Source organism: Homo sapiens, chromosome 1 (assembly GCF_000001405.40).
Source record: "Homo sapiens chromosome 1, GRCh38.p14 Primary Assembly".
NCBI classification, from domain to species: domain Eukaryota; kingdom Metazoa; phylum Chordata; class Mammalia; order Primates; family Hominidae; genus Homo; species Homo sapiens.
In genome coordinates, this window is record NC_000001.11 from 179926171 (window position 1) to 179952647 (window position 26477).

At 40.9% G+C, this 26477-nt stretch overlaps 1 long non-coding RNA gene across 1 annotated transcript, besides 1 other annotated feature; it reads right to left on the reverse strand.

The window, feature by feature from the left end:
- Window positions 1-26308, reverse strand: LOC101928933 (uncharacterized). Its single transcript, XR_241158.4, has 4 exons — window positions 26096-26308; window positions 15614-15711; window positions 625-726; window positions 1-497 (listed from the first exon to the last, which is right to left on the reverse strand). It is a non-coding gene; the product is annotated as an uncharacterized LOC101928933 (long non-coding RNA).
- Window positions 26136-26245: an enhancer, noted in NCBI's record as "active region_2158". NCBI's record gives its function as "activates an Ori minimal core promoter by ATAC-STARR-seq in GM12878 lymphoblastoid cells {active_cell/tissue: GM12878}" and the evidence as "EXISTENCE:reporter gene assay evidence [ECO:0000049][PMID:35858748]".

The window sequence follows — 26477 nt, forward strand, 5'->3', positions numbered from 1 at the left end:
AAAATTGCCTAACAGTGCAATCGTCTTTTTTATTTTTATTTATTTATTATAGAGATGGAGTCTCACTATTTTGCCTAGGCTGGTCTCAAACTCCTGGGCTCAAGCAAGTCTCTCACCACAGCCTGCCAAAGTGTTGAGATTACAGGCAAGAGCCACCACGCCTGGTGACAACACAGTTCTCAAAATGTATCTCCTTCATTAAGTGACACATGACTGTACTCACATTTACTAGCTTATTATAAAGGATATTACAAAGGATACCGATGAACACCAGATGAAGAGATGCATAGGACAATGCATGTGGGAAGGAGTGTGAAGCCTCCATCTATTCCATTCCAATCTATTCAGGCTCTATAAAGTTTATATTCAACCTATATATTCTTATTTGTGGCTCTCCTTTAAACACTTTTCTTCCCTTGCTCAGCATTGTAGAATCCAATATTGCACAAACCGAGTCTAGAGAATTTTGAGTAGGATGAGTCATCACACAGTCCTACCTGTTGACACATATTTGCATACATAATCATGATTTTATAACTAAATTTACTGCAATGTTGACTCACAGTTAATCTTTTTCAAAATGCTTACATGTACCCCAGGGATTGGTTAACTGCCCCTGCTTACCACACAGCTTCTCTTTTTGGCCTCTTTCAGTCTTGATGCAAAACTCAGCAACTCTGAATTCCTAAGGAAAAATCCATTTGCATCCAGAGCACTGGCAATTTCCTACAGAGGAAAAATTGTTGATAGTACACAAAAAACACATCCCACAGAAAACAGAAGCATCCTTATCCTTACTGTAATGAGGGAGAGTATGATTAAGAGTACAGGCCCTACGGTCTGGAGTTTGACTGCCTAGGGCCAAATCCCAGCTCCATGCCTTTCTCACTGAATGACACTAGCAACTTATGCTCTTTATGCTTCAGTTTCCTTGTCTAAAAATGGGGAAAATAATGTAACTACTATCTTTTTTTTTTTTATTGAGACAGAGTCTTGCTCTGGCACCCAGGCTGGAGTGCAGCAGTGCGATCTCGGCTCACTGCAACCTCCGCCGCCCAGGTTCAAGCAAGTCTCCTGCCTGGGCCTCCCGAGTAGCTGGGATTAGAGGCCTGGGCCACCACACTGGCTGATTTTTGTATCTCTAGTAGAGACGGGGTTTCACCATGTTGGCCAGGCTGGTCTCGAACTCCTGACCTCAGGTGATCCACCCGCCTTGGCCTCCCAAAGTGCTGGGATTACAGGTGTGAGCCACCGCACCCGGCCTCATTTACCAAAATTCTTAACCACCAACAGTTCTCTCCCCTTTTCCTGTGTGGCATCAACTGTGATGGCTCCTACTTCCAGCCTCTTAGGTGACCCTTGTCATACGAATAACTTGGGCTTTCTTCCCATCTTATACCTCCATTACAAGCCCCAACCCATCACAAAGTTTATTAAACAAAAGGCCTTACAGTTATCAGAATCCACCCTTGCCCCAAATCAGGGGTACTATAAAGAATAAGAAAGCTTTCCTGGCTGGGTACAGTGGCTCATGCCTATAATCCCAGCACGTTGGTAGGATGAGGTGGGAGGATCACTTAAGCCCAGGAGTTTAAGACCAGCCTGGGCAACATAGTGGGACCCCATCTCTAGTTATAAAATTTAAAAGGTTTTTTTTTTATTTTTTAATTAATTTTTTTTCAAGAAAGCTTTTTGATCACATGCAAATAGCTCTTTCTCTCCATGGTTTATTCTTCCCATTCATCTTCACCATCCTACTCCCATACTTAATCAACCTCACTTTCTTTTCTTGAAGTAACTATAATTTGTTGATATTTTCCAAGTGCTGCACAGACTATCCCGTGTTGAACACGGAGATGTGCAACCTGGATCTCCTTTCAAGGAGTAATTTGTTTTGCCATCTGCTGGGAGTGTGTTCAGTGGACAGCCTTCACTCTCAACCACTTCACAGCTTGCCTCAGCTGCAGAAAACCACCTTGCTGAAGACTACGTTGGGGAGGGGGAGAGTGGTGCACTCTAATGACACGGGATACAAAGGCTTGGCCTTCTCAGCCCCACACAGTGCAACTATGGTGGGCCATTTGCACTCCAGAGCTTCCCTATGGGGTTGGCTGAAGCTATGGGGCCTGTATTATAGCATGACTTTTTCCTCTCCCCTCTCCTTCCTTTTCCTCCTTTCCATGGGTGTTGATACCAAGGCACTCCCTACTAAATACCTTGTACTCTGAGTCTGCTTCTCAGAAAACCCAACCTATGTCACACTGTAAGCTTAGTGTAGTCTGTAAATAATTAAGTCAGTAACGTTTATTGACCATTTAATATGTGCCAGGCACCATGCTAGGCACCATACATATACTATATCATTTAATTTTCATAATATTTGAAGTAGGTGCTATTACTATCTTTCTGTTACCAATGAGGAAACACAGACCCAGAACTACTGTTAGTAACTGATGGAGCTAGGATTTGAACTCAGTCTGACTCCAGAATCTGCATTCTTAACCATCATTCTACAATTCTACATTGTATTCCATCATAATGTCCACTTTTTTTTTTTTTTTTGAGATGGGGTCTTTCTCTGTTACTGAGGCTGGAGTGCAGTGGCATGATCTTGGCTCACTGCAACCTCCGCCTCCCGGGCTCAGGCAATCCTCCCACCTCAACCTTCTGAGTAGCTGGGACTACAGGCACACACCACCACACCCAGCTAATTTTTGTAGAGATGGATTCGCTGTGTCACCCAGGCTGGTCTAGAACTCCTGGACTCAAGTGATCCACCCGCCTCGGCCTCCCAAAGTGCTGGAATTACAGGCGTGAGCCACCATACTCAGGCAGTATCCACTTCTTAAGGAGCAAAAATGGCATTAAATAATATAAGCATACGATGCTTGGGGAGGTGGTGGTGGAATGTAGCCATATTTTTTATGGAAAGACTGTGTTAAAAGTGAACATTTTGAAGGTTTTTAACTGGTGAAAGAAACTAGCCTGGAATAATGCCACCAGAGACTGAGTGGAAGTCATCCCTTTTGAAGGTGCCATTCTTATGAGCCAAAAGTTTGTCGTTTAAAAGTTCATTTTGAGGGAATAACGTAACATAATTTTAAATAAAGGTATAGTAACCTTTAAAAGAACATTATAGCTGAATATTGTGAATGGGGTGAATTTGTTAAATGAATAACTTTGATAAAGTTTTCATGCACAGGCAAAATGTATTCACTAGATTTCTATGTAGTGATCTGCTTTTACTTTGTAATTTGTAGTCCTCAAAAGACTTTAAAAAAAATAAAGTCCATACTTACACTAACAAAAAAAACACATAATGCATGTATGTTGAGGAAACATACTGCCTGGCCCATAGAATCACCGGATTATCTAGTGAAATTTACACCTCTTTATAGAGATAAAAACCTGACAATAATGTTTGGAACTCTGTTAGGTAGAATGCTCTCTAATAACAAAGGCCTATTATGGTTCTGATGTCCTAATTTGAAAGTAAGTTGGGCAGGGCGTGGTGGCTCACGCCTGTAATCCCAGCACTTTGGTAGGCTGAGGCGGGCGGATCACGAGGTCAGGAGTTCGAGACCAGCCTGGCCAACATGGTGAAACCCCATATCTACTAAAGTTAAAAAAAATTAGCCAGGCGTGGTGGCACGCACCTGCAGTCCCAGCTACTCAGGAGGCTGAGGCAGGAGAATCACTTGAACCCAGGAGGCAGAGGTTGCAGTGAGCCAAGATCACGCCACTGCACTCCAGCCTGGCGACAGAGTGAGACTCCGTCTCAAAAAAAAAAAAAAAAAAAAAAGGAAATTGAACTAGATGATATTTAAAGTCTCTGTCAATGCTGATTCTATAAAATTGGCAAAGTTTGTAATAGCTTAATATAATGTAAAGCCCAGAATATTTTGCTTGATATAGCCTCTGAAAGAGAATCACTTATAGTCCATGATCTGTCCAACATTCAACAGGCATCTCAAACTGTGTTGGAGTAGTGTAATACTTGCTGCTTGAAATATAAGATCTGAGTGAGCAAATTCCAATGAAATCTTTTCCTTTGGAAATAGTTCCAAAGAATTAAGCTTTCTATTGTTAACAGGCAAGTTCCAAAGACCAAAGGTTTGCTCCTCTGAAATATTTTCATTAGCCTTGAATAAGCAAGTTGGCAGAGAGAGGGAACGAAGTACTTTTGTGTTCAGAAAATGCAGCCAACTTCCTATCTCTGGCTTTACCTCTAAGTTTTGTTATTGAATCAGCAGTTCTGTTTTTTTAAGTCATCTGGTTATTCCCAAGGTGGCCCTTTGACCTTTGCAGTTTGCCCAAAGGAGATCTACATGTATTAGCTGGTTGGACTATAGGTTAAGCTTAGATTTAGCTCTAAGCAATGAACCCTTTGCCCTTATATCACCTGTTATCTCGTTCCTGCAGAAAAGGAACACAAACATCCAAATTTATAGCAGTCTCAACATCTGCCTTAAAGCTTTTGTAAAGTATACAGGGAGTAATGTAAATATGTGCATGCTAACATTAATGTGAAATAAACTCTAAGTAAACAAGAGGAATGAATGGATAAGGCTAATATAACTCTCATAGCTACAGCCATCTCCCATAATTGGAAAGTTAAGTGCTTTAAAAAATTTGTTTCAAATTTTAAACATAATAATTTAAACAAAAAAATTAAAGTTTTAGTTTCATGGTTTCTTCAAAGTATCAATTCTCCTCAAAACAATAAAAACAGCCAATGAAATTAAAATACATAAAGAGTACCCGGTAAATAGAAACGAATAAAGTAAAAAAGTAAGTTGAACAGGAGAAGTTTGGAAGTAAGGTGCTGGGATAATCAACAAGCCTGGTAAGGTCCATTTCTCAGACAGTATGAGGTCATGCTGCAGATAGCAACATATTTCTGGCGCCTTCCATCTGAGGTTCTTCAAGTGCATAGCTGATGTTATCTTATAGCAAATATTATTACCTCCATTTTATAGGTGCAGAAACTAAGATACCAGGAGATTAGATAACTTGCTTAAGCCTGCACAATGAGTCAGTGATAGAATCAGAAGTGTATTTCAGGAATCTAATCTTTTCTGTTTGAATCACTAGGTCAGCTTTCTAGATACCAAAAGACATGTATGAATTTTTATTAAAATTAATAAATTGTAAATTTTGTTAATATACTTAGAAAATGGATTATCTTCTGTAAACAATTCAGTGAAATATTTTTGTTGTAAGCCATTGTTGCTTTTTGGGGGGAAAAATTTAAGAGGTGATTTAAAAATAAGTTCTCCCAGGTTTGAAAAGGTATTCATGTGAGGTTTAAATTATTTAGGAAAACCCATTTTAAAGGTTGAGCATGATGGTGAACGCCTGTAATCCCAGCACTTTGGGAGGCCGAGGCAGGCAGATTGAGCTCAGGAGTTTGAGACCAGCCTGGGCAACATAGTGAGACCCTGTCTCTACAAAAGGTTTAAAAGTTAGCCAGGTGTGGTGGTGTGCACCTGTAGTCTCAACTCCTCAAGAAGCTGAGGCAGGAGGATTGCTGGAGCCCAGTTCAAGGCTGCAGTAAGCTGTGATTATGCCACTGCACTCCAGCCTAGGCGAAAGAGTGAGATTCTGTCTAAAAAAAAAAAAAAAGAAAGAAAAGAAATTTATTTTGGCAGAAGTACAAGGATTGGCACATGTTGTTGTGGTCCTTGTAGACTTTCAATGACAGATAAAGTAGTTCTATAATTAGGATAAAAATTAGAACAAGGGTAATAAAGAGTGAGTAATATTTTGGAGTCTTATACAGGCAGGGGCCAGACACTTGGGCCAGCTGTCAGCTTCTCACGTTGCCTGCTTCTTATTCCAAGACTGAGCAGCAGAGTGGTTCCTGGTAAATTTTAATTTCAGATAACCATCAGATTGAGATGTCCGTTCAGGAGACTTAGCCTTGAAAAACAAATTTTTTTATAACACCTGGACCAGTTCCTTACAGTAGGTGAGCACGTGACCTTTGATTAGATTTGATTCATAAAGTGCATGGGTCTTCCAGTAATTATCTCAAATGGGGATAACCAATGTTTTCCAAAAGGGGTAGGTCTAAGATTAAACAGCACCAAGGGCAAAACTTTTGGCCAGTACAGACTGAAAGATTCAACTAATTTTGCCAATTGAGTCCTTTTTTTTTTTTTTTGAGACGGAGTCTCGCTCTGTCGCCCAGGCTGGAGTGCAGTGGCACAATCTTGGCTCACTGCAAGCTCCACCTCCTCGGTTCACGCCATTCTCCTGCCTCAGCCTCCTGAGTAGCTGGGACCACAGGTGCCCGCCACCACGCCCGGCTAATCTTTTTTTTTTTTTTTTTTGTATTTTTAGTAGAGACAGGGTTTCACTGTGTTAGCCAGGATGGTCTCGATCTCCTGATCTCATGATCTGCCCGCCTCGACCTCCCAAAGTGCTGGGATTACAGGCGTGAGCCACCGTGCCTGGCGCCGATTGAGTCTTAATTGTTCCATCAGTATGTTCCACTAATCAAGAGGACTGTCAGTGGTGGCCACAGTGGAAATGCAGAATAGGCAAAATTTTACATATTGATTTTATATTCTGCCTAGCAAAATGAGTGCCTTCGTCACTGTACAGTTCTGAGGGTACACCCCATATGGGGATTATTTTTTCCTAATAAGATTTAACTTACTGCTTAGGCTGTTAGTCTGCAATGGGGAAAGGCTTCCACCCAGTGGGAAAACATATAAATCATAACCAAAACAAATTTATATCATTGAGATGGTAGTAGCTAGATAAAATCCATCTGTCATATCTCAAAAGATCCTGAAGCTAAAGGAAAACACCCTATGGAACTATGAATATGTTTTCTAGGGTTGTATTTGGGACAGACTTGGGATCTTTGCTAAACTTTGCTAAACTTGAGAAGCAACCTTTGGGGAGGGTTTCCAATAATATTATCATTTTATCCCCAATGGGTTAAGTGATTAATATAATCTAAAATTTGATCTTGGAGGCCCCCTGGCAAGACTGATCTCTTATGGAGCCCATGCTATAGGCTGGTGTATTACTCATGGTTCTCCAGAGGATGTATGAAAGGGAGTTTATTAGGAAGAACTGGCTCACACAATCACAAGTCGAAGTCCCACTACAGGCCGTGTGCAAGCTGGGGAAGAAAGAAGCCAGTAGTGGCTCAGTCTGAGTCCAAAAGCCTCAAAAGCAAAGAAGCTGACAGTGCAGCCTTCAGTCTGTGGCCAAAGGTCCAAGAGCCACCAGAAAACCACTGGTGTAAGTCCAAGAATCCAAAGGCCAAAGAACCTGAAGTCTGATGTCCAAGGGCAGGGGGAACAGAGGGAAGCATCCATCATGGGAGAAAGATGAAACCCAGAAGACTCAGCAAGCCAGCTTATCCCACTTTTTTCCACCTGCTTTGTTCTAGCCATGCTGGCAGCCAACTGGATGGTGCCCACCTACATTGAGGGTGGGTCTTCCTCTCCCAGTCTACCTACTCAAATGTCAGTCTCCTCTGGCGACACCCTCACAAACACACTCAAAAACAATACTTTACCAGCTACCTAAGCATCTTTCAATTCAATCAAGTTGACACCTAATATTAATGTTAACCATCACAGCTGGTTTTAGAGTCATGAAAACATTCTTCAGTTTTCCTATCTTTTTTTCAATTTGGGGGCTGTCATGCATTGTGGATACAGGTCTTGATTATATTGCATTGGCCATTAGAGGATCTGAAGGAGTATTGAGTTTGGGTGGTTGGTTCATAGAAGCTGCAGCTTTTGCAGCTCTGTCAGTCAAGTCATTTCCTTTACCTTCTTTAGAATCAGTTTTTTTTTTGTGTGTCATGGAATTTTAATTATTGCTAAAGATTTAGGTTTTTAGGTAGCATCAAGTAATTTCAGGACATAGTCACTGTTTTTTTTAATCTTTTGGCCAGTAGAGTTCAGAAAATCTTTGTTTCCAGAGCATAACAAAATCACGTTTGACCCCAGAAGCACAGTGTCTATCAGTATAGGTATTTGCAGTCTTATTAATTGCCAGGATACTTAGGAGAGAGCAAAGAGTTCTGTCTGCTGTGCAGAAGTAGTCTTGGGTAGGGAACCACTTTCAATGGTTTCAGACAGTGAGACAACAGCATAGCCAGCTTGACATTTCCCTGAGGTATTTCAAGGTAGAATCCATCAGTAAACCAGACAAATTCAGCATTTGGAATGGGGACTTCCTATAGGTTTTTTCTGGGGGTTAGTGTTATATAGTCATGTGGTGTCTCGTCAGAAGGAAGAAGAGATAAGGTGGCAGGATTCAAAGAGTTACAGCAATCAATAGTTACATTAGAGGGATGATAATAATAGGATCTATAAGAAGTGAGTCTGCTAGCAGTGAGTCGTTGGAGGTATGGATTGAAATTAATGGAGATCCTATCATTAATTATTTGATCGCACTTAATAAATTTGCAGTGGCTATGATAGCTCACATATAGGATAGGAGTCATGTTGCCCCAGGACCTGTTGGCTATAATATTTGAGGGGACTGATGGTCTCCATGCCTTCAGGTAAAAACCCCTAAGCCATTTTCATTTTGTTCATGAACAAAAACGGAAAGGGGGAGACTCTAGAATGCCCTAATGCAGGGGGCCCAAGAAGATTCTCCTCAGTATTTTCAAAAGAGGAGAAGGCTTCTCAGGCCACTGTAGGGGTTCAAAGTGGCCCGTTTTTAGGAGGTAATACAGAATCTGAGCCATGGCAGAGAAATTTGAGATTCATTATCTAGTGCTCTGTTAATCTCAAGAACTCAGAGAGTTGTCTTTTGGTCATGGGAACAGGAAAAGCCAAGATTGATTTTTTTTTTGGAGATAGAGTCTCACTCTGTCACCCAGGCTGGAGTGCAGTGGCGCAATGTCGGCTCCCTGCAACCTCCTCCTCCCAGGCTCAAGCAATTCTCCTGCCTCAGCCTCCTGAGTAGCTGGGACTACAGGCACATGACACCATGCCCAGGTAAATTTTTTTTGTTGTTGTTGTTGTTTTAGTAGAGACGTGGTTTCACTGTGTTAGCCAAGATGGTCTTGATCACCTGACCTTGTGATCTGCCTACCTCGGCCTCCCAAAGTGCTGGGATTAGAGGCATGAGCCACCACGCCCGGCCCAAGATTGATTTTATTCTTTGGGGATCGAGCAAAAGACCCTGTCCTGAAATTAGATGTCCTAAATATTTCACTTGTGAGAGAGAAAGTTGTAGCTTCTCTTTTGAAGCTTTATGGCTTTTAGTGGCTACTTTCTTTAATAGACAGTGGCTGTCCTCTATGGAAGCCTTTAAGGTAAAGGAACAAAGTAATAAGTCATCCACATATTTTATGAGAACAGAATGCAAAGGAAGTGCCAAATCTGCTATGTCTGTTTTTAAGACTTGGGAGAAGTATTTGGGACTATCAGCATACCCCAGAGGCATTACTGTCCAGGTATATTGTTGTCCTTTCCGTGTTAAGGCAAAAAGATACTGGCTAGCTGGATCAACAAGGATGATTAAAAAAAAAAAAGAAAAAAGAAAAAAAAGCACTGCAGAGGTCAATCACAGTGAAAACCTGACTACCTGGTGGTATGGCGGATAGTAATGTATGCAGGCTAGGTACAACAAGATAATGGAGTATTAAAATGTTATTGATGGCTTCTAAGTCCAGGACAGATCTCCATCCCTGGTTATTAGGTTTTTGTACTCATAGAATGGGGGTATTACCTGGGCTAGTGCATGGAATAATTAGTCCCTGCTTGAGGTAGTCCTCAAAAATTGGTTTGATTCCCTGAATGGCTTCCTAGTATAAGGGAATCAAATTGTTTAATGTTTGGAAGTCTTTTTGTTTCATCTATTTGTATGTTAATTGGTTGTGCTGAATGAAAACAGTCAATATCTGTGGTGCATTTGGACCATAAGTTTTCAGAGTAGAGAGGTTAGTAGGTCTTGAAATGTTTCACTAGGTGATACTTTCTCCTTGTTTTCAAGAACTGAAAATATAGAGATGGAAAGTACAGTGAGTTCCTTGAGGGTTCCCTCTATAGTAGTTTTTTTCCAGTAGTAATTGCATTTCCCCCTTTTGGAAGAAAGAAATTCGAGCTTTGTGGGCTTCCAAGAAAATTTCAGCCAATTAAGTGAATGAGAGCTGAAGGGACTAACAGAAACTGATAAGGGCCCTGGAGTTCCCCAAGTCAAAATGCTATGGGGAAATGGCCTCTTTCACTGCAACTGGGGACTCATCTTGTCTATGCAAAGATCTGCTGGGCCACTGGGACATAGTCTTCTGGATCCAGGTCCCTTGTCAGTGTTCCCACACAGTCCCAGTACCCTCCTTGGATCTTCTCCAGGTCCATCTGGAAAGCCCCATCAACCTTGGAGTCCTCATGAGACTAATGGCAAGCCTGGGCTCAGAGTCTCTTCTAGTGCTGGGACAGCTGCAGTAATCACAGCCTAAGGGAACATATCAGTCAGTCTGCTTAGAATCCCTGGAAGGACCTCTGAAGAAGAACAGGCACAGATAAAGCCAGACCGTGAAGACTGAAATAAATACCTAATACTTCAATGTGCAGACATCATTGCATCTACATAGGCATCAAGAGCATTCAGGGAAATATGACCTCACCAAACAGACAAAATAAGGTGCCAGAGATTGACCCTAAAGTGATGGAGATGTGTAATTCTCCGACAAAAAATTCAAAATAGCTGTTTTAAGGAAGTTCAATGAACTTCAAGAAAACATTGAGAATCCATTCAGAAATGTATCAGTGAAGTTTAACAAAGAGATTGAAACAATAAACACAAAAATTAAGCGGGAATCCTGGAACTACAAATTACAATAGATGAAAAATGCAATAGAAAGCATCAACAGCAGAATTGATCGAACAGAAGAATCAGTGAGCTTGAAGACAGACTATTTGAAAATATAGTCAGAGTAGAAAAAAGAAATGAAAAGGAATGAACAAAGTATATGGGATCTATGGGACAACATCAATATTTTCCAGGATGTTGTGGTTGGCAGTGTACAGTTTGGCCCAGTTCAAGGGTTCAAGGCAAGTCCTTGATTTTTGTACATGGAAGTTTATAGGACATGCAGGCAGTCTTTCTTAGAATGGCTTTGCACAGCCACGTGGTGTAATGGAATAGTTATACATTCTGGATTCAGAAAAGGGAGGTTCAAATTCTAGCTATACCACTTCTCCAACCTTGTGACCATAAGCAAATCATTTCACCTTTCCAATAAATTTCCTTATCTGTGAAAGAGGACTGATGGTAATATATCATAGAGTTTGATAAGAATTAAACAAGACAAAATATATGAAAGTATTGAGGTTATTAGAGGTTATACAAGTGTTTGTCATATATGTGTTATATAGAATACATATGTTATAACCATTTATATATATAATGAAAATTAGAATATATACACATTTAATACATGATCAGTGTATGTTAGAATGTTTTTCAATTCCTGCTTAATAATACATGTAATCACATATATTTCCAAAACCAGCTACCACTTCATTATTACTCTTATTTCTGCCTGACAGTTTTTCAGCTGCTTTTTCCCCTTTATAATATTTTGTGGGCTTTCTGTTAATGCAGTAGGATTTGTAACCAAATGCTCACAGATTCTCATTCCTTTTTCAACAGGTGGGTGCACTCAGTCCTGGGATTCCAGGAGTGTTTTTAGTAGTCAGTGAGTCTCACTAAAACCTGAGGGTCTTCTTCCAGGCTGGGCACCCAGCTGCCTTTTTCTGTTTTTGGAAGGACCACAGAAAATCTCCTGTCAAAAGTTTAAAACTTTCCACTGCCTGTAAATAGGGTGATTCATCCCTTGTAAAATATAACCTGGTTTGATTACATATAACCTCATTCTGACATATCCTTCAGCTTTTTAAAAAATTGCAGCTGTCTTGCTATAAGATGTCCCATTGCATATTTCATTTGTATTATTAGGCTATAAATCAGCATCAAAACAGAGAGATGCTCTTAAGAGAGACACTCTTCTTTTTAAGAGTGTTCTAAGAATAAGGCATTGCCTTTGTATAGTTAAAGTGATTACCATGCCTGTTAGCTACACTACTTCAAGGAAGCCCCCATTGGGAATATATTAAAGAAGATACTCAACATTGAAAGAAACTAATCTTTGAAGGTTTGTAAAGATTAAATGTAGGAAAACATAATTTTTAAAGCTTAAAAACATTCCCAAATAACACATTTCAGAAGTACTCTTTTTCTTAACTGGTATAAAACTTAATTTAGAGAAATAGGAAAGACTTAGTAGTTAGATTTAAATATATTGGCTGTCTGATTCACAAATCTTGTTGAAGACATTAACAAAATGGAAGCAAATCATAGCAATTAAATGGATCAAAATTGGCCTCATCTCCCCACCACCAGAATTTACCATTTTTATATATGTTATAGATTTGTACATATACATTGAATTATTTTGGCTTTTATTTATGTAAATGTCAGACTACAAACATCATTTAAGCAACTTCATTTTTTTTTACTCAACAATGCTTTTTTTAAATAATGCTTTTAAGATATACCCATTGTTTCTGTCTCACAATTGCTACAGTAAATGAGTCTATGATTCTAAGTCTTTGTTTGTTTGTTTGTTTGTTTAAAGCCAGCCTCAGGTTTGCTAAATCCCAGTTTGCTTTTGACCTTACCAGAAATAAAGGAGGAAGAAACTAACTCCATTGCTTGGCTTTATTCCAAGAGCACTTCACTACTAATCTTAAGGAGAGATTAGCCAACAAAAGTGAAACGTGGATCTGAAGCAATATTCCAGACATGTAATTTAATCCCCAAAACTACTTTGTTCTGAACAACCAGATACTTAAGAAGTGGATTTGTTCTGCCTTGGATTTCCAGCTAGTTCCTCCTAGCTTATCTCACTGATGGATGAATTAATTCACCCGTCCATTCAATGAGTTTTTATTAACTGTCAGCTAAATGCACAGCACTGCATTAAACAAGTTGTTTTATTTTTGATTGTGAATAACTAACTTTGTGAAGGGCATCTTTATTCTTTTTTGTCATCTTTACATATTACAGCATGTACTTCCTAAATCCTAGTTACCTTTCCCAACCACTATGAACCAATAACTCAAACAAGGTGGTGATTTAGCTGTTTGTCCTATAGTTCCACTAAATCTTCAAGATGTATCCTATACTTCAAAAAAAGATACATACCTTAAAATTAGAATTCCTGCTAATACTAAGTCCACAGGGATTAAATTCGTTATTCTAGAGTCACAGGGCAAGTCATTGTGAGTACAAGGTTTGCAATCAGATGTAGGTTAGATCAACAATACCCTGCTACTGAACTATGAAAGTTTTAAGCCCTTATAAACCCTGAGCTATTTTATCACAAGAATTTCATTCTCAGCAACTGGTTTGTGCAAAATCAATGTTAATTATAATTATAGATTATTTGGGGTGTCGATTTTAACATCTTTTTTAAAGTCATGAAATAAATTCCCAGACCATCCAAAATGAATTTGTGCTTATTTAGGCTTGTTTGTTGCTAAATTCATTTAGGCACAAGGTAGATTGAAGATCTCTCTGATCTTTTCCCTGGAGTGATGCCTTGACTTTCATAGATAGCAATACACTGTTACCTAGCAATAAAGCAGAACCCATCTGTTTTCATATTTACCAAGAAGAGATTGTAAGTAAAGTCAATGAGGTAAAGGGCCCTGTTTTAATTTTACTAGACTCTGTTTAATTAGAGTTTCTTCTGTTCCAAGCTATGGCTTTTCACAATGGTCAGGTTAACTTCATATTTAGAAGAGTGAGATTCTGAGCCACTGATGAGCCCAAATTTCAAGTTTCTCTTTTTCTGTGTGGTAGACAAACATTGTTTCCTTACTGGTATTTTATCTGTCACTCCAAATGGCTGAATACTCAAAGAACTTTAAGGTACATTCTACATGATTTTTTATGTGTTTTGTGTTTTAGGTATCTGATCAGCAACAGGTTCCATCATGTGCCCTCCCACAGAGTCTCAAAATCTCAGGGCAATTCCTTTGAGTTGAGTTGCGGTCTCAGGGCTGAGTAGCATCCATCATGAGACAAACACAATGTTGTTGAGATAGACTCATACCTGGAGATCTGCCCAGTGAAAAACAGACTCTGCTTAGGTTGTCCAGTGCATTCTCACCAAAGGCAAAGTCTTGCTGTGTTTTTCTTCTAAGGCTATTAGGATGATCAAATAAATGGGCTAAAGCCCACTGAAAACACTGCAATAAGGTATCATACCTCATGCTTAGCTGATACCTAGCCTGCACTGGTTTTGTTATTTAAATATTAACATAATTCCACAGTGATTGGTAAATAGCTGCTGATTTCCAAAATCTAACAACCAAGGAGCTTACACCCAGTCCAATAAGGAGGGCCTCTGATTCTGCTCCATTCTGACTGGCTCCCAATTTTAGTGATTATGTTTTAATGTCCTTCCTGCCCAAAACAAATGTGAAAATAAAAGTGAATGAGGCTAGATGCGGTGGCTCATGCCTGTAATCTCAGGACTTTGGGAGGCCGAGAGGGGTGGAACACCTGAGGTCAGTAGTTTGAGACCAGCCTGGCCAACATGGTGAAACCCTGTCTCTACTAAAAATACATAAAATTAGCTGGGCCTGGTGGCAGGTGCCTGTAATCCCAGCTACGTGGGAGGCTGAGGCAGAAGAATCACTTGAACCTGGGAGGTGGAGGTTGCAGTGAGCCGAGATCGCGCCATTGCACTCCAGCCTGGGCAACAAGAGTGGAAACTCTGTCACACACAAAAAAAAAAAAAATTAGCTGGCCATGGTGGTAGGTGCCTGTAATCCCAGCTACTTGGGAGGCTGAGGCAGGAGAATCACTTGAACCAGGGAGGCGGAGTTTGCAGTGAGCCAAGATGACGCCACTACACTCCAGCCTGGGTGACAGAGCGAGACTCCGTCTCAAAAAAAAGGAATGAAACAACAAATGTATATACAAATAGACTATGGTTTACAAATATAACTTCTAGCTACTAATGCTGAATAACAAATTATCCTGAAAGCTAGTGGATTAAAATAACAATATTTATTATGCTCACAATTCTACAATTTGGGCGTACTTGGTGGAGCGGCTTGTTGCTGTTCCAGTTGGTGTTAGCTGGGGTAGCTTAATGGTTGGTGTAATGGTTAATTTTATGTGTCAATTTAGCAAGGTCATAGGACCCAGATACTTGGTTAAACACCAGTGTGGATGTTGCTTTGAAGGTATTTTTTAAACGAGATTAACATTTAAATAAGTAAACTTTAAGTAAAGTAAATTACCCTCCATAATGTGGGTGGGGCTCATCCAATCAGTTTCTTAAGTAAAAACACACTGAGGAAACAGAAGAGAGGATTCTGCCAGCAGATTGCCTTTGGACTTGAGCTGCAACATCAACTTCCATGGGTCTCTGACTTGCTGGTCTACCCTGCAGACGTCAGACTTGCCAGCCTCTGTAATCATGTGATAACTTCTCCGGAGAACCCTGACTAAGACAGCTGGGAACTGGAATAATCTGGAGTCCTTAATCCATCACATGTCTGGTGGTTAACACTGGAAAGACTTAAACAATTGGGATTAGGAATACCTGGGGCTTCTTGGGCATCTCCATCTCATAGTCTTCCAGGATGGCAGCTTCAGGTGAACTTTTTTCATGTCAGATCAGGATTCCAAAAGCATTTGTCCCTAGAAAGAGAAAACAGAGCAGAATCTGAATTTTTTATGACTTAACTTCTGAGGTCACATTGTACCATTTATGATGTCTTCTATTGGTTGAGGCCATTACAAATGCCCACCCAGACTCAAGAAGAGGGAACTCAGACCCCATCTCTCAATGCAGAAATGTCAACATCACATTATAAGAAAAACATGTGGGATGAAATATATTGGTGCAACCATCTTTGGAAGATACCATCTGCCTCACTAATGTTTTCAAATTCTAAAACATATTTTCTATTTATTTAGAGTTACTAATGCTTGATGCTCTACTTTTAGAGTGGATCTACTAGTTAATCATTCTTTTTTTTTCCTTTTTTCACTTTAAGTGGTTATTTTATTATTAGAGAGATGTATACTTGAAAAACTTAATTTCCAGTTTTTAATTCCCCTAAATTTTATTTATTTATTTATTTATTTATTTTTGAGACAGTGTCTCACTTTGTCGCCTAGGCTGGAGTGCATGGTGCAATCTCAGCTCACTGCAACCTCTGCCTCCCGGGTTCATGCAATTCTCGTGCCTCAGCTGGGAACCACCAGGCCCAGCTAATTTTTGCATTTTTAGTAGAGACAGGAGTTCACCATGTTGCCCAGGCTGGTCTCGAATTCCTGGCCTCAGGTGATCCACCCACCTCAGCCTCCCAAAGTGCTGGGATTACAGGTGTGAGCCATTGCACCCAGCCGTAATTCTCCTAAATTTTAATATCTTGATTTTTTTCTTAAAGTCACACAAAGTAAGTTCAACGTAAAACTAAGAAGTTTTCATGTGTCCCTTAAGGCTAGAAAACTGTTTTATAAAAGAACATGTAATGAGAATGCAATTAACGAAATTGCCATCGAAGACAATGTAATTGTTTGGCTTGAGTGAATCCCAATTTGGACAATGTTAGCATCATCTTCGAGTCTCTTTTTACTTAGAACCAGCTGTTCTGCTTTTCCACGCCTCTTTCCCTGGTAGGAATTTAGGTAGAGGTGGGGATGGGTTGAGGCAAGAAGATGACATCTCTTGGCTGGTTTGAAAAAGTACCTTAGCTTATGCAGCCAAAAAACACATGAAAAAATGCTCATCATCACTGGCCATCAGAGAAATGCAAATCAAAACCACAATGAGATACCATCTCACACCAGTTAGAATGGCAATCATTAAAAAGTCAGGAAACCACAGGTGCTGGAGAGGATGTGGAGAAATAGGAACACTTTTACACTGTTGGCGGGACTGTAAACTAGTTCAACCATTGTGGAAGTCAGTGTGGCGATTCCTCAGGGATCTAGAACTAGAAATACCATTTGACCCAGCCATCCCATTACTGGGTATATACCCAAAGGACTATAAATCCTGCTGCTATAAAGACACATGCACACATATGTTTATTGCGGCATTATTCACAATAGCAAAGACTTGGAACCAACCCAAATGTCCAACAATGATAGACTGGATTAAGAAAATGTGGCACATATACACCATGGAATACTATGCAGCCATAAAAAATGATGAGTTCACGTCCTTTGTAGGGACATGGATGAAATTGGAAATCATCATTCTCAGTAAACTATCGCAAGAACAAAAAACCAAACACTGCATATTCTCACTCATAGGTGGGAATTGAACAATGAGATCACATGGACACAGGAAGGGGAATATCACACTCTGGGGACTGTTGTGGGGTGGGGGGAGGGGGGAGGGATAGCATTGGGAGATATACTTAATGCTAGATGACAAGTTAGTGGGTGCAGCGCACCAGCATGGTACATGTATACATATGTAACTAACCTGCACAATGTGTACATGTACCCTAAAACTTAAAGTATAATAAAAAAATAAAATAAAAATAAATCCAAAAATAAATAAATAAATAAATAAATAAAAGAAAAAGTAGCTTAGAGCCAGGATGGGTAGAGTTGATTCTGCCCTACCGTTCCCTAGGGGTAGTTACTTCTTACTGGAACTGCTGCTAATTTACCTTCAAGGTAGTTGCTGCTGTTTTTTCTTAAATTTTGGCTTAAACTTCGATAAAAATAACAACTGTATTTGTCTGTCCAGGGTTACAAAGAGGAAAAGTTTCTTAAGCCTCAAATCAGTAGGATATCATTTCAACTGTGTGAAGTTATTTTCTTGTAACCTTTATGCCTCCTTCTTGGCTGTTCTTTCTCCCATTCCCCACTAGTATATTAAAATTTCTATTATTTATTTTTATTTTAAAAATTTATTATTTAATATTTTGAAAATAAAAAAGCTACAAAGATAATAATACAATCATCTGTGTATCCACACCTAGCTTAAGAAATCAAATGTTACCAACATAGTTGAAGCTTCCTATGTTCACCCCTACCACATATTAATCTCTTCTGCTCCCTCAGGAGGTAATCACTTTTCTGAATTTAGTATTTTTTATTCCTCAGCACTTAAAAATCTTTTACTACATTTGTATGTGTTCCTAAATAATCTATACCAGTACTGTGCATGCTTTTAAGCTTTATGGAAGTGGCATCATACTATATATATCTATCTGCAACCTTTTTATTTTTATTTTTTGAGACGGAGTCTCGCTCTGTCGCCAGGCTGGAGTGCAGTGGCATGATCTCGGCTCACTGCCACCTCCGCCTCCCGGGTTCAAGCGATTCTCCTGCCTCAGCCTCCCGAGTAGCTGGGACTACAGGCGCCCACCACCACACCCAGCTAATTTTTTTGTTTTTTTGAGATGGAGTTTTGCTCTTGTTGCCCAGGCTGGAGTGCAATGGTGCGATCTCGGCTCAGCACAACCTCGGCCTCCTGGGTTCAAGTGATTCTCCTGTCTCAGCCTCCCGAGTAGCTGGGATTATAGGCATGCACCACCATGCCTAGCTAATTTTTTGTATTTTTGGTAGAGATAGGGTTTCTCCATGTTGGTGAGGCTGGTCTCAAACTCCCGATCTCAGATGATCCACCCACCTCAGCCTCCCAAAGTTGTGGGATTACAGGCGTGAGCCACCGCGTCTGGCCTGCAATCTGCTTTTTAAAAATTATATTTGTGTGATACATCCTTAAATTTATTTTCACTGTTTCTTGGTCTTTCATTGTATGAATATTCCTCAGTTTACTACCCATTCTTTTATTGATGGACATGTTATTTCCTATTTTTGCTATTATAAACGATGCTTCTGTAAAATTCCTTGTACTTGTCTCCTTGTGCACCTGGGTGAGTTTCTTACGGCGGCGAACCATTTAATCCAAGTCTGCAGTGAGATAAGAAGCTTGTGTAAAAATATATATCATCATACTGTCTCCTTCATTAAGGAAGTCTTATCTAAAAAAAGTCAGCTTGGCTGGGCACGGTGGCTCACGCCTGTAATCCCAGCACTTTGGGACGCCGAGGCGGGCAGATCACGAGGTCAGGAGATCGAGACCATCCTGGCTAACACGGTGAAACCCCATCTCTACTAAAAATACAAAAAATTAGCTGGGCGTGGTGGCGGGCGCCTGTAGTCCCAGCTACTGGGGAGGCTGAGGCAGGAGAATGGCGTGAACCCGGAGGGCGGAGGTTGCAGTGAGCCGAGATCCCGCCACTGCACTCCAGCCTGGGGGACAGAGTGAGACTCCGTCTCAAAAAAAAAAAAAAAGTCAGCTCATCCCTAAATAGTATATTTAGTGACATAGTTGATTTACATCCTTGCATGAGTTCTTTATCTTATTGGTCTAGTAACAAAGAGTTTGAGAATGTGGACTATTTTGAATGAAATTGTTGGGTCATGGTCATATCTTCAGTTTTACTGCATATTTCCAAAATGTTTTATAAAATCATTGTACCAACTTACACAGCCCTCAGAAGTGAATAAAAACTCCCACTGTTTCACATCTTTGCCAACATGTAATAACATCAGACCTTTTAATTTTTGCAAATCTGGATATAAAGTTTGGCTTAAACTCTGACAAAAGTATCAAATGACTTCTCATTATGGTTTTATTTTGTCTTTCCTTGATTGCTAATGATATAAAGCATCTTGCCATTTTTCAGAAACTGGTTTTTAGGCTGGGCATGGTGGCCACTCATGCCTATAATTCTAGCACTATCGAAGGTGGAGGTGGAAGGATGGCTTGGGCCCAGAGTTTAAGGCCAGCCTGGGCAATGTGACCTGGTCTCTACTAAAAATGTAAAAATTAGCCAGGTGTGGTGGCATGTACCTGTGGTCCCAGCCATTCAGGAGGCTGAGATGGGAGGATCACTTGAGCCCAAGGAGTCTGAGGTTACAGTGAGCTGTGGTCATACCACTCCAGCCTGGCCCATAGAGTGAAACCCTGTGTCAAAAAAATATAAGGCCAGATGCAATGGCTCATGCCTGTAATCCCAGCACTTTGAGAGGCTGAGGTGGGTGGACCACTTAAGCTCAGGAGTTTGAGACAAGCCTGGTCAATGAAGTGATATCCCATCTCTACAAAAAATACAAAAACTAGGTGGGTGTGGTGGCGCATGCCTGTAGTCCCAGCTACTCAGGAGGCTTAGATGAGAGGATGGCTTGAGCCTGGGAAGTTTCAGTGAGCCAAGATCATGCCCCTGCTCTCCAGCCTGGAGGACAGAGCTAGACCCTGTCTCAAAAAACATAAAATAAAATAAAGTAAGATAAGATAAGATAAAATAAAATAAAATGATTTTTAGGGTTTTTATAAGCATTGAACTTTTCTGGACTGTTGCTGCTAATTTTCAATTTTTCTTTATAATTTCTTCCTTTTATTCAATGTTCCAAAGGTAAACCATGTTTGCTTATTGCTTTTTAATTCTCTTTTTCCTATTTCTTTCTCCTTTTATCATTTCATTCTTGCCTGTGGAATGTTATTGATGCTTCTATGACTGGCTTTCTGCTTTTCTATCTCTACCATTACTTTTTGCTGGCTCAGGTTCTCTCAGAATCCTTCTTTTTGGGCCAGTTGTGGTGGCTCACACCTGTAATCCCAACACTTTGGGAGACCAGTGCAGGAGGACCCCTTAAGCCCAGGAGTTCAAGACCAGCCTAGGCAACACGGCGACACCCCATCTCTACAAGAAATACAAAAATTAGCTGACCGCGCCACTGCACCCCAGGCCGGGCAACAGAGTGAGACCCTGTCTCAAAACAAACAAACAAAAAGAATCCTTCCTTTTGGTAAAGGTTATGTCTTTGGTAAAGGTCATTATTCATGCATGCGACTAAACAAGACTCAGGGGTGTAATAATAGAAGCAACTTTATTTTGTTCTCTCACTGTCCTAAGTGGGGAAATTCCTTTTACTCCTGCGTAAAAACTCAGGCAAGCCCCATGACTTTTCTCATCCATTGTAGTTAATAAAAGTCTTATATCACATTAGCTTGCAAACACAGTATTAATTTAGTAATAAAATATTCAGCCCAGTATATGAATCAACATTTTAATCTTTACTCAAAGGTACAACTTCTATCCGTTTTGATCTAGGACTTCCTGCATTAGTGCTGCCTCCTTCCATGAAGTGAGGCGTGGTCCTTCTTTTCTCCTTTCCTGTCTGGAGTATATCCGTTTCCTCAGGTTTGCTAATTATTATTCCTACCCTGCCCAGGGTGGAAGGCAGGGAACTGAGGAGTCAGGGAAGAGCCGTAAGGGATACAAGAACATTCTTACGTGACTGGTACTGTTGTAAGGTGGCTTTACCCCAGGCTTGGTAGATAGGTAAAGCCCATTGTTTCTCTTAGAGGTCCTGGGTTCTTTAAGGATTCTCCTGCTCAGCCTCTGCAGCTACAACTCTCTGGATGTGTATATTGCCTCCCCTTTGGGTGGCCACTCCCAGTGTCCTGTAGCCAAATATTCCTCTTTCTCTGGGGTCCACTCAAGCTGGTAGGCTGCCTCCTTAGGGGGATCCCTTCCATTTTATTTTATTTTATTTTTTTGAGACAGAGTCTGGCCCTGTCGCCCAGGCTAGAGTTCAGTGGTGTGATCTTGGCTCACTGCAACCTCCACCTTCTAGGTTTAAGCAATTCTCCTGCCTCAGCCTCCTGAGTAGCTGATTATAGGCACCCACAATCATGCCCAGCTAATTTTTGTATTTTTAGTAGAGACAGGGTTTTGCCATGTTGGCTAGGCTGGTCTTGAACTCCCGACCTTAGGTGATCCATCCACCTTGGACTTCAAAGTGCTGGGATTTTAATTTACTCCTCCTCCTTCTTCTTCTTTTCTTTAGGAAAATGCCTATTCTTTTTTTTTTTTTTTTTTTGAGACAGGGTCTCACTCTGTCACCCAGGCTGGAGTGTGGTGGCACGATCATGACTCACTGCAGCTTCGACCTCCTCGGCTCAAGTGATATCCCCACCTCAGCCTCTTGAGTAGCTGGGACTACAGTCCTGTGCCACCAAGCCCAGCTAATTTTTTGTAGAGACAAAGTTTCATCATGTTGCCCAGGCTGGTCTCGAACTCTGGGCTCAAGTGATCTGCCCACCTCGGCCTCCTAAAGTGTTGGGATTACAGGCATGAGCCACTGCACCTGGCCTAACTCCCATTTTAGAGCAGCAACACTTACCTTCCCTGCCACCATCCTCTACTCTGCTGTCAAGGTTGCTATGCCTTTTTCAGGCCTGAATCCAGCCACAGGCTACTCTGCCTTTCAGATTTTGGCCCACGCATCAAGCTCTCCATATTGTCTTCTCAATGCCCCTACTACGAGCTTGAGGTAAGGAAGAAGCCACCTCTGCACCCCACTGCCTATCCAAAGAAATCTTCCTGTCAAACCCTTTGAATCTACAATTTCTCCATCCTTTCATATCAGTGACCAGGTGGAAGGGTCTTGCATGAGGGGGTTCAAGAATCACATACTTTGTCTCATATATCTCCTCTTAAAATGTGCATCTTAAGGACCGGGCGCAGTGGTTCATGCCTGTAATCCCAGCACTTTGGGAGGTCAAGGCAGGCACATCACTTGAGATCAGGAGCTTGAGACCAGCCTGGCCAACATGGTGAAACCCTATCTCTAGTAATAATACAAAAATTTGCCAGGTGTGATGGTGTGCACCTGTAATTCCAGCTACTCGGGAGGCTGAGGCAGGAGAATCGCTTGAACCCGGGAGGCGGAGGTTGCAGTGAGTTGAGATCACGCCACTGCACTCCAGCCTGGGCAACAGAGCGAGACTCTGTATCAAAGAAAAAAAAAGTGCATCCTGACCAGCCTGGGCAACATGGCAAGACCTTGTCTCTGCAAAAATGCAAAAATACAAAAATTTGCCAGGCGTTGTGCATGTAGTCCCAGCTACTGGGGAGACTGAGGTAGGAGGATCACCTGAGCCCCAGAGGTTGAGACTGCAGTGAGCTGTGATCGTGCCGCTGCACTCCAGCCTGGGTGACAGAGTAAGACCTACTCTAAAAAATAAAAATAATTAAAATGTGCATCTTGTGCTCCTGTCTCACAACTTACTCTGGTTGCTGCTATCAGTTTGTTTTCGGACCTCACTCAAAAATTTCAATTTTTAACTTTCAATTGTAGTCAAATACGGTTAAATGCTGCCTTTGTAGATATGCCTATTTTTTTTTTTTTGCATTCTGGATTTGATATCACAGAGGTTTCTATAATCAATATTTCCTTTGCTGTATGCTCATGTACACATACTCACATATATACACACAAATATTTATATACATGAAGATAGATGGTTATGCCTATTTTCTTATCAAAGACATTTATTTTTGATAAATTTCAGTTTTTTCTTAATTCTGCCCAGCAGAATAACAAATCCCCTAGAAAAGTACAAGACTAAGCCAAAAGACCAACTCTAGAAAAAATAAAAGTAACCAGAAAACCTACCCCTAAACTTGGTATCTGCATAGTTTGTTAAAATGAAAGGGAGATTTGTTATGGTTGAATTTATTATTGAAAAGATGGTGGACAAGATTACAGATCAGACTTGGCATCTAGGCTTGACATTTCCTTAGGAATGCCTTTAGTTAATCCTGACACATATTTTTATTCAATTAACTACAAATAGTGAATGACATCATTACAGCACCAAAGCTGTATCTTTCCATTTCTTAGTTTGTTGTCTAGAGATTAATATCAAATTTTGCATTCCCAGGAAAGAAAACATCACTATTCACCTAGAATCTAAATTCAACAAATAAATTTAATTCAACAAATATTGAATACCTAATTATATGCAAGGCACTAATACAGTGTATTAAAAATAGTAAAAATAAGCAACATTTTTGAGCACCTATTATGTGCCAACTATATGTCCTTCACATGTGTTATTTCTTTTTCAACACAGCTTTATGGATATATACTTCACATATCATACAATTCACCTATTTAAAGCATACAATTGAATGGGTCTTAGTATGTTCACAGAGTTGTGCAACTGTTGCCACTATCAATTTTAGAACATTTTCATCGCATAAAAAAGAAACTCTGGGGCCGGGCACAGTGGCTCACGCCTGTAATCCCAGCACTTTGGGAGGCTGAGGCAGGCGGATCACCTGAGGTTGGGAGTTCGAGACCAGCGTGACCAACATGGAGAAACCCCATCTCTACTAAAAATACAAAATTAGCTGGGTGTGGTGGCGCATGCCTGTAATCCCAGCTACATGGGAGGCTGAGGCAGGAGAATAACTTGAACCCAGGAGGCAGAGGTTGCAGTGAGCCGAGATCGCACCATTGCACTCCAGCCTGGGCAACAAGAGCGAAACTCTGTAAGAAGAAAAGAAAAAGGCCAGGCACAGTGGCTCATGCCTGTAATCCCAGCACTTTGGGAGGCTGAGGTGGGCAGATTACCTGAGGTCAGGAATTCAAGACCAGCCTGGACAACATGGTGAAACCTCGTCTCTACAAAAATACAAAAATTCGTAGGGCATGATGGCGGATAGCATGTAATCCCAGCTACTCAGGAAGCTGAAGCGGAAGAATCGCTTGAACCTGGGGGGCAGAAGTTGCAGTGAGCTGAGATCATGCCATTGCACTCCAGCCTGGGCGACAGAGCGAGACTCCCTCTCAAAATAAAAGGAAACTCCATAACCACTAGTAGTCATTTCCCATTTCTCCTCCCCTCCCCTATGTCTATTCCACTTCTCTGCCCCAGGCAATCACTTATCTACCTTCTGTCTCTATATATTTGTATATTCTGAACACATTTTATATTCCTCTACATGTGTTATTTCTTTTCTTACACAACCCAGTGAGGTAGGTACCATTGCAATCTCCACTATACAGAAGTGGAAACTGAGTCACGAAGAGGTTAAGTACCCTGACCAAAGTTATATGGCTAGTAAGTAGCTCAGCCAGGCTTTATTTATTTATTTATTTGAGACAGAGTCTCACTCCATCACCCAGGCCAGAATGCAGTGGTGCAATCTTGGCTCGCTGTATCCTCTGCCTCCTGGGTTCAACTGATTCTCATGCCTCAGCCTGCCAAGTAGCTGGGACTACAGGCGTTCACCACCATGCCCGGCTAATTTTTCGTATTTTTGGTAGAGATGGGGTTTCATTATGTTGGCCAGTCTGGTGTCGAACTCCTGCCTTCAACTGATCCACCCACCCTGGCCTCCCAAAGTGCTGGGATTATAGGGGTGAGCCACCGCACCCGGCCTCAGCCAAGGTTTAAACCCAGAATTTAAATTCTAGGTGAATAGCTATGTTTTCTTTCCTGGGAATGCAAAATTTGATATTGATCTCTAGACAACGAATTAAGAAATAGATATAGCTTTGGCGATGTAATGATGTCATTCACTATGTGCAGAATTCATGCTTTTAATCCACTATGAAGGAGACAAAGGTCCTTAGAATCTAACATGATCATGATGTATAAGATACATGCAGAAATACTGATAGTAGATACCGCTCTATGCAGGAGACACAGCATCACACAGTTCAGGGGTGGAAGAGCACCTGGAAAGTATGAGCAATCAAGGATTTTTTTCTGTAGTAGTTAGCTTCTCAGTTGGCACTTAGAGAATGTGGCAGAAATTGCGAGCTGGGGTAATATGTGTTCCAGGTTAGGAAACAAAGGCCTAGAGGTAGGAATGAACAGGTTGTTTCTCCGATCCAGTGTGGCTTGAATGTAACATTCTCAGTCAGTGTATCACTTCCCATTTCGTGACATTAGCTACCGTTTATTTCTGTCTTTTAACGTCAAGCTCTTGACAGGTATTATTTCTAATCTTTAAGACAACCCTACAGGGTAGATATCATTAGCCTTGATATAGACAAGAAGATTGAGGTTCTTGAGGGGTCATAAGGCAAGTAAGTGATAGAGCCAAGATTTGAATAAGTGTCTTTCTGATGTCACATTCCTGCCCTTTCTACTTTATTGTGCTGTCTTACTTAAGGGAGATGGAAAGTTAGGTTGGTGCCATACTGAGAAAAGCCTTGATGGCTGAGGCGAAAAGTTTTTACTTACCTTGGCAGGTAGAGACATGATAGAGACAAAACTCAAGCTGAACTGTGGAAATACTACTATAATCATTTGGGCAGTAGAAATGACAGTCTAAATTAGGAAGGCAGTGGTGCAATCAGACAAAAGGGAAGTACATATAAGAAATATGCATCAGTGGTATTTAGAGACTTCATAACTGGGTGGGAGCAAGGCGTACAGAGGAGTATATAATATTTCTGAAACTTTGGTTCTCTTAGTTCTCAGAAGAGTGTTCTGTGACGGCCATGAACAGAAATACAGAGGAAACGAGGAGGAGCTGGCTTTGTGAGACTGAGGGAGGAAAAATGATAACCTTAATATGGGAGCTGAAGGTGCTGGTGACTTCTGTATCTATGTGAAGATGGGT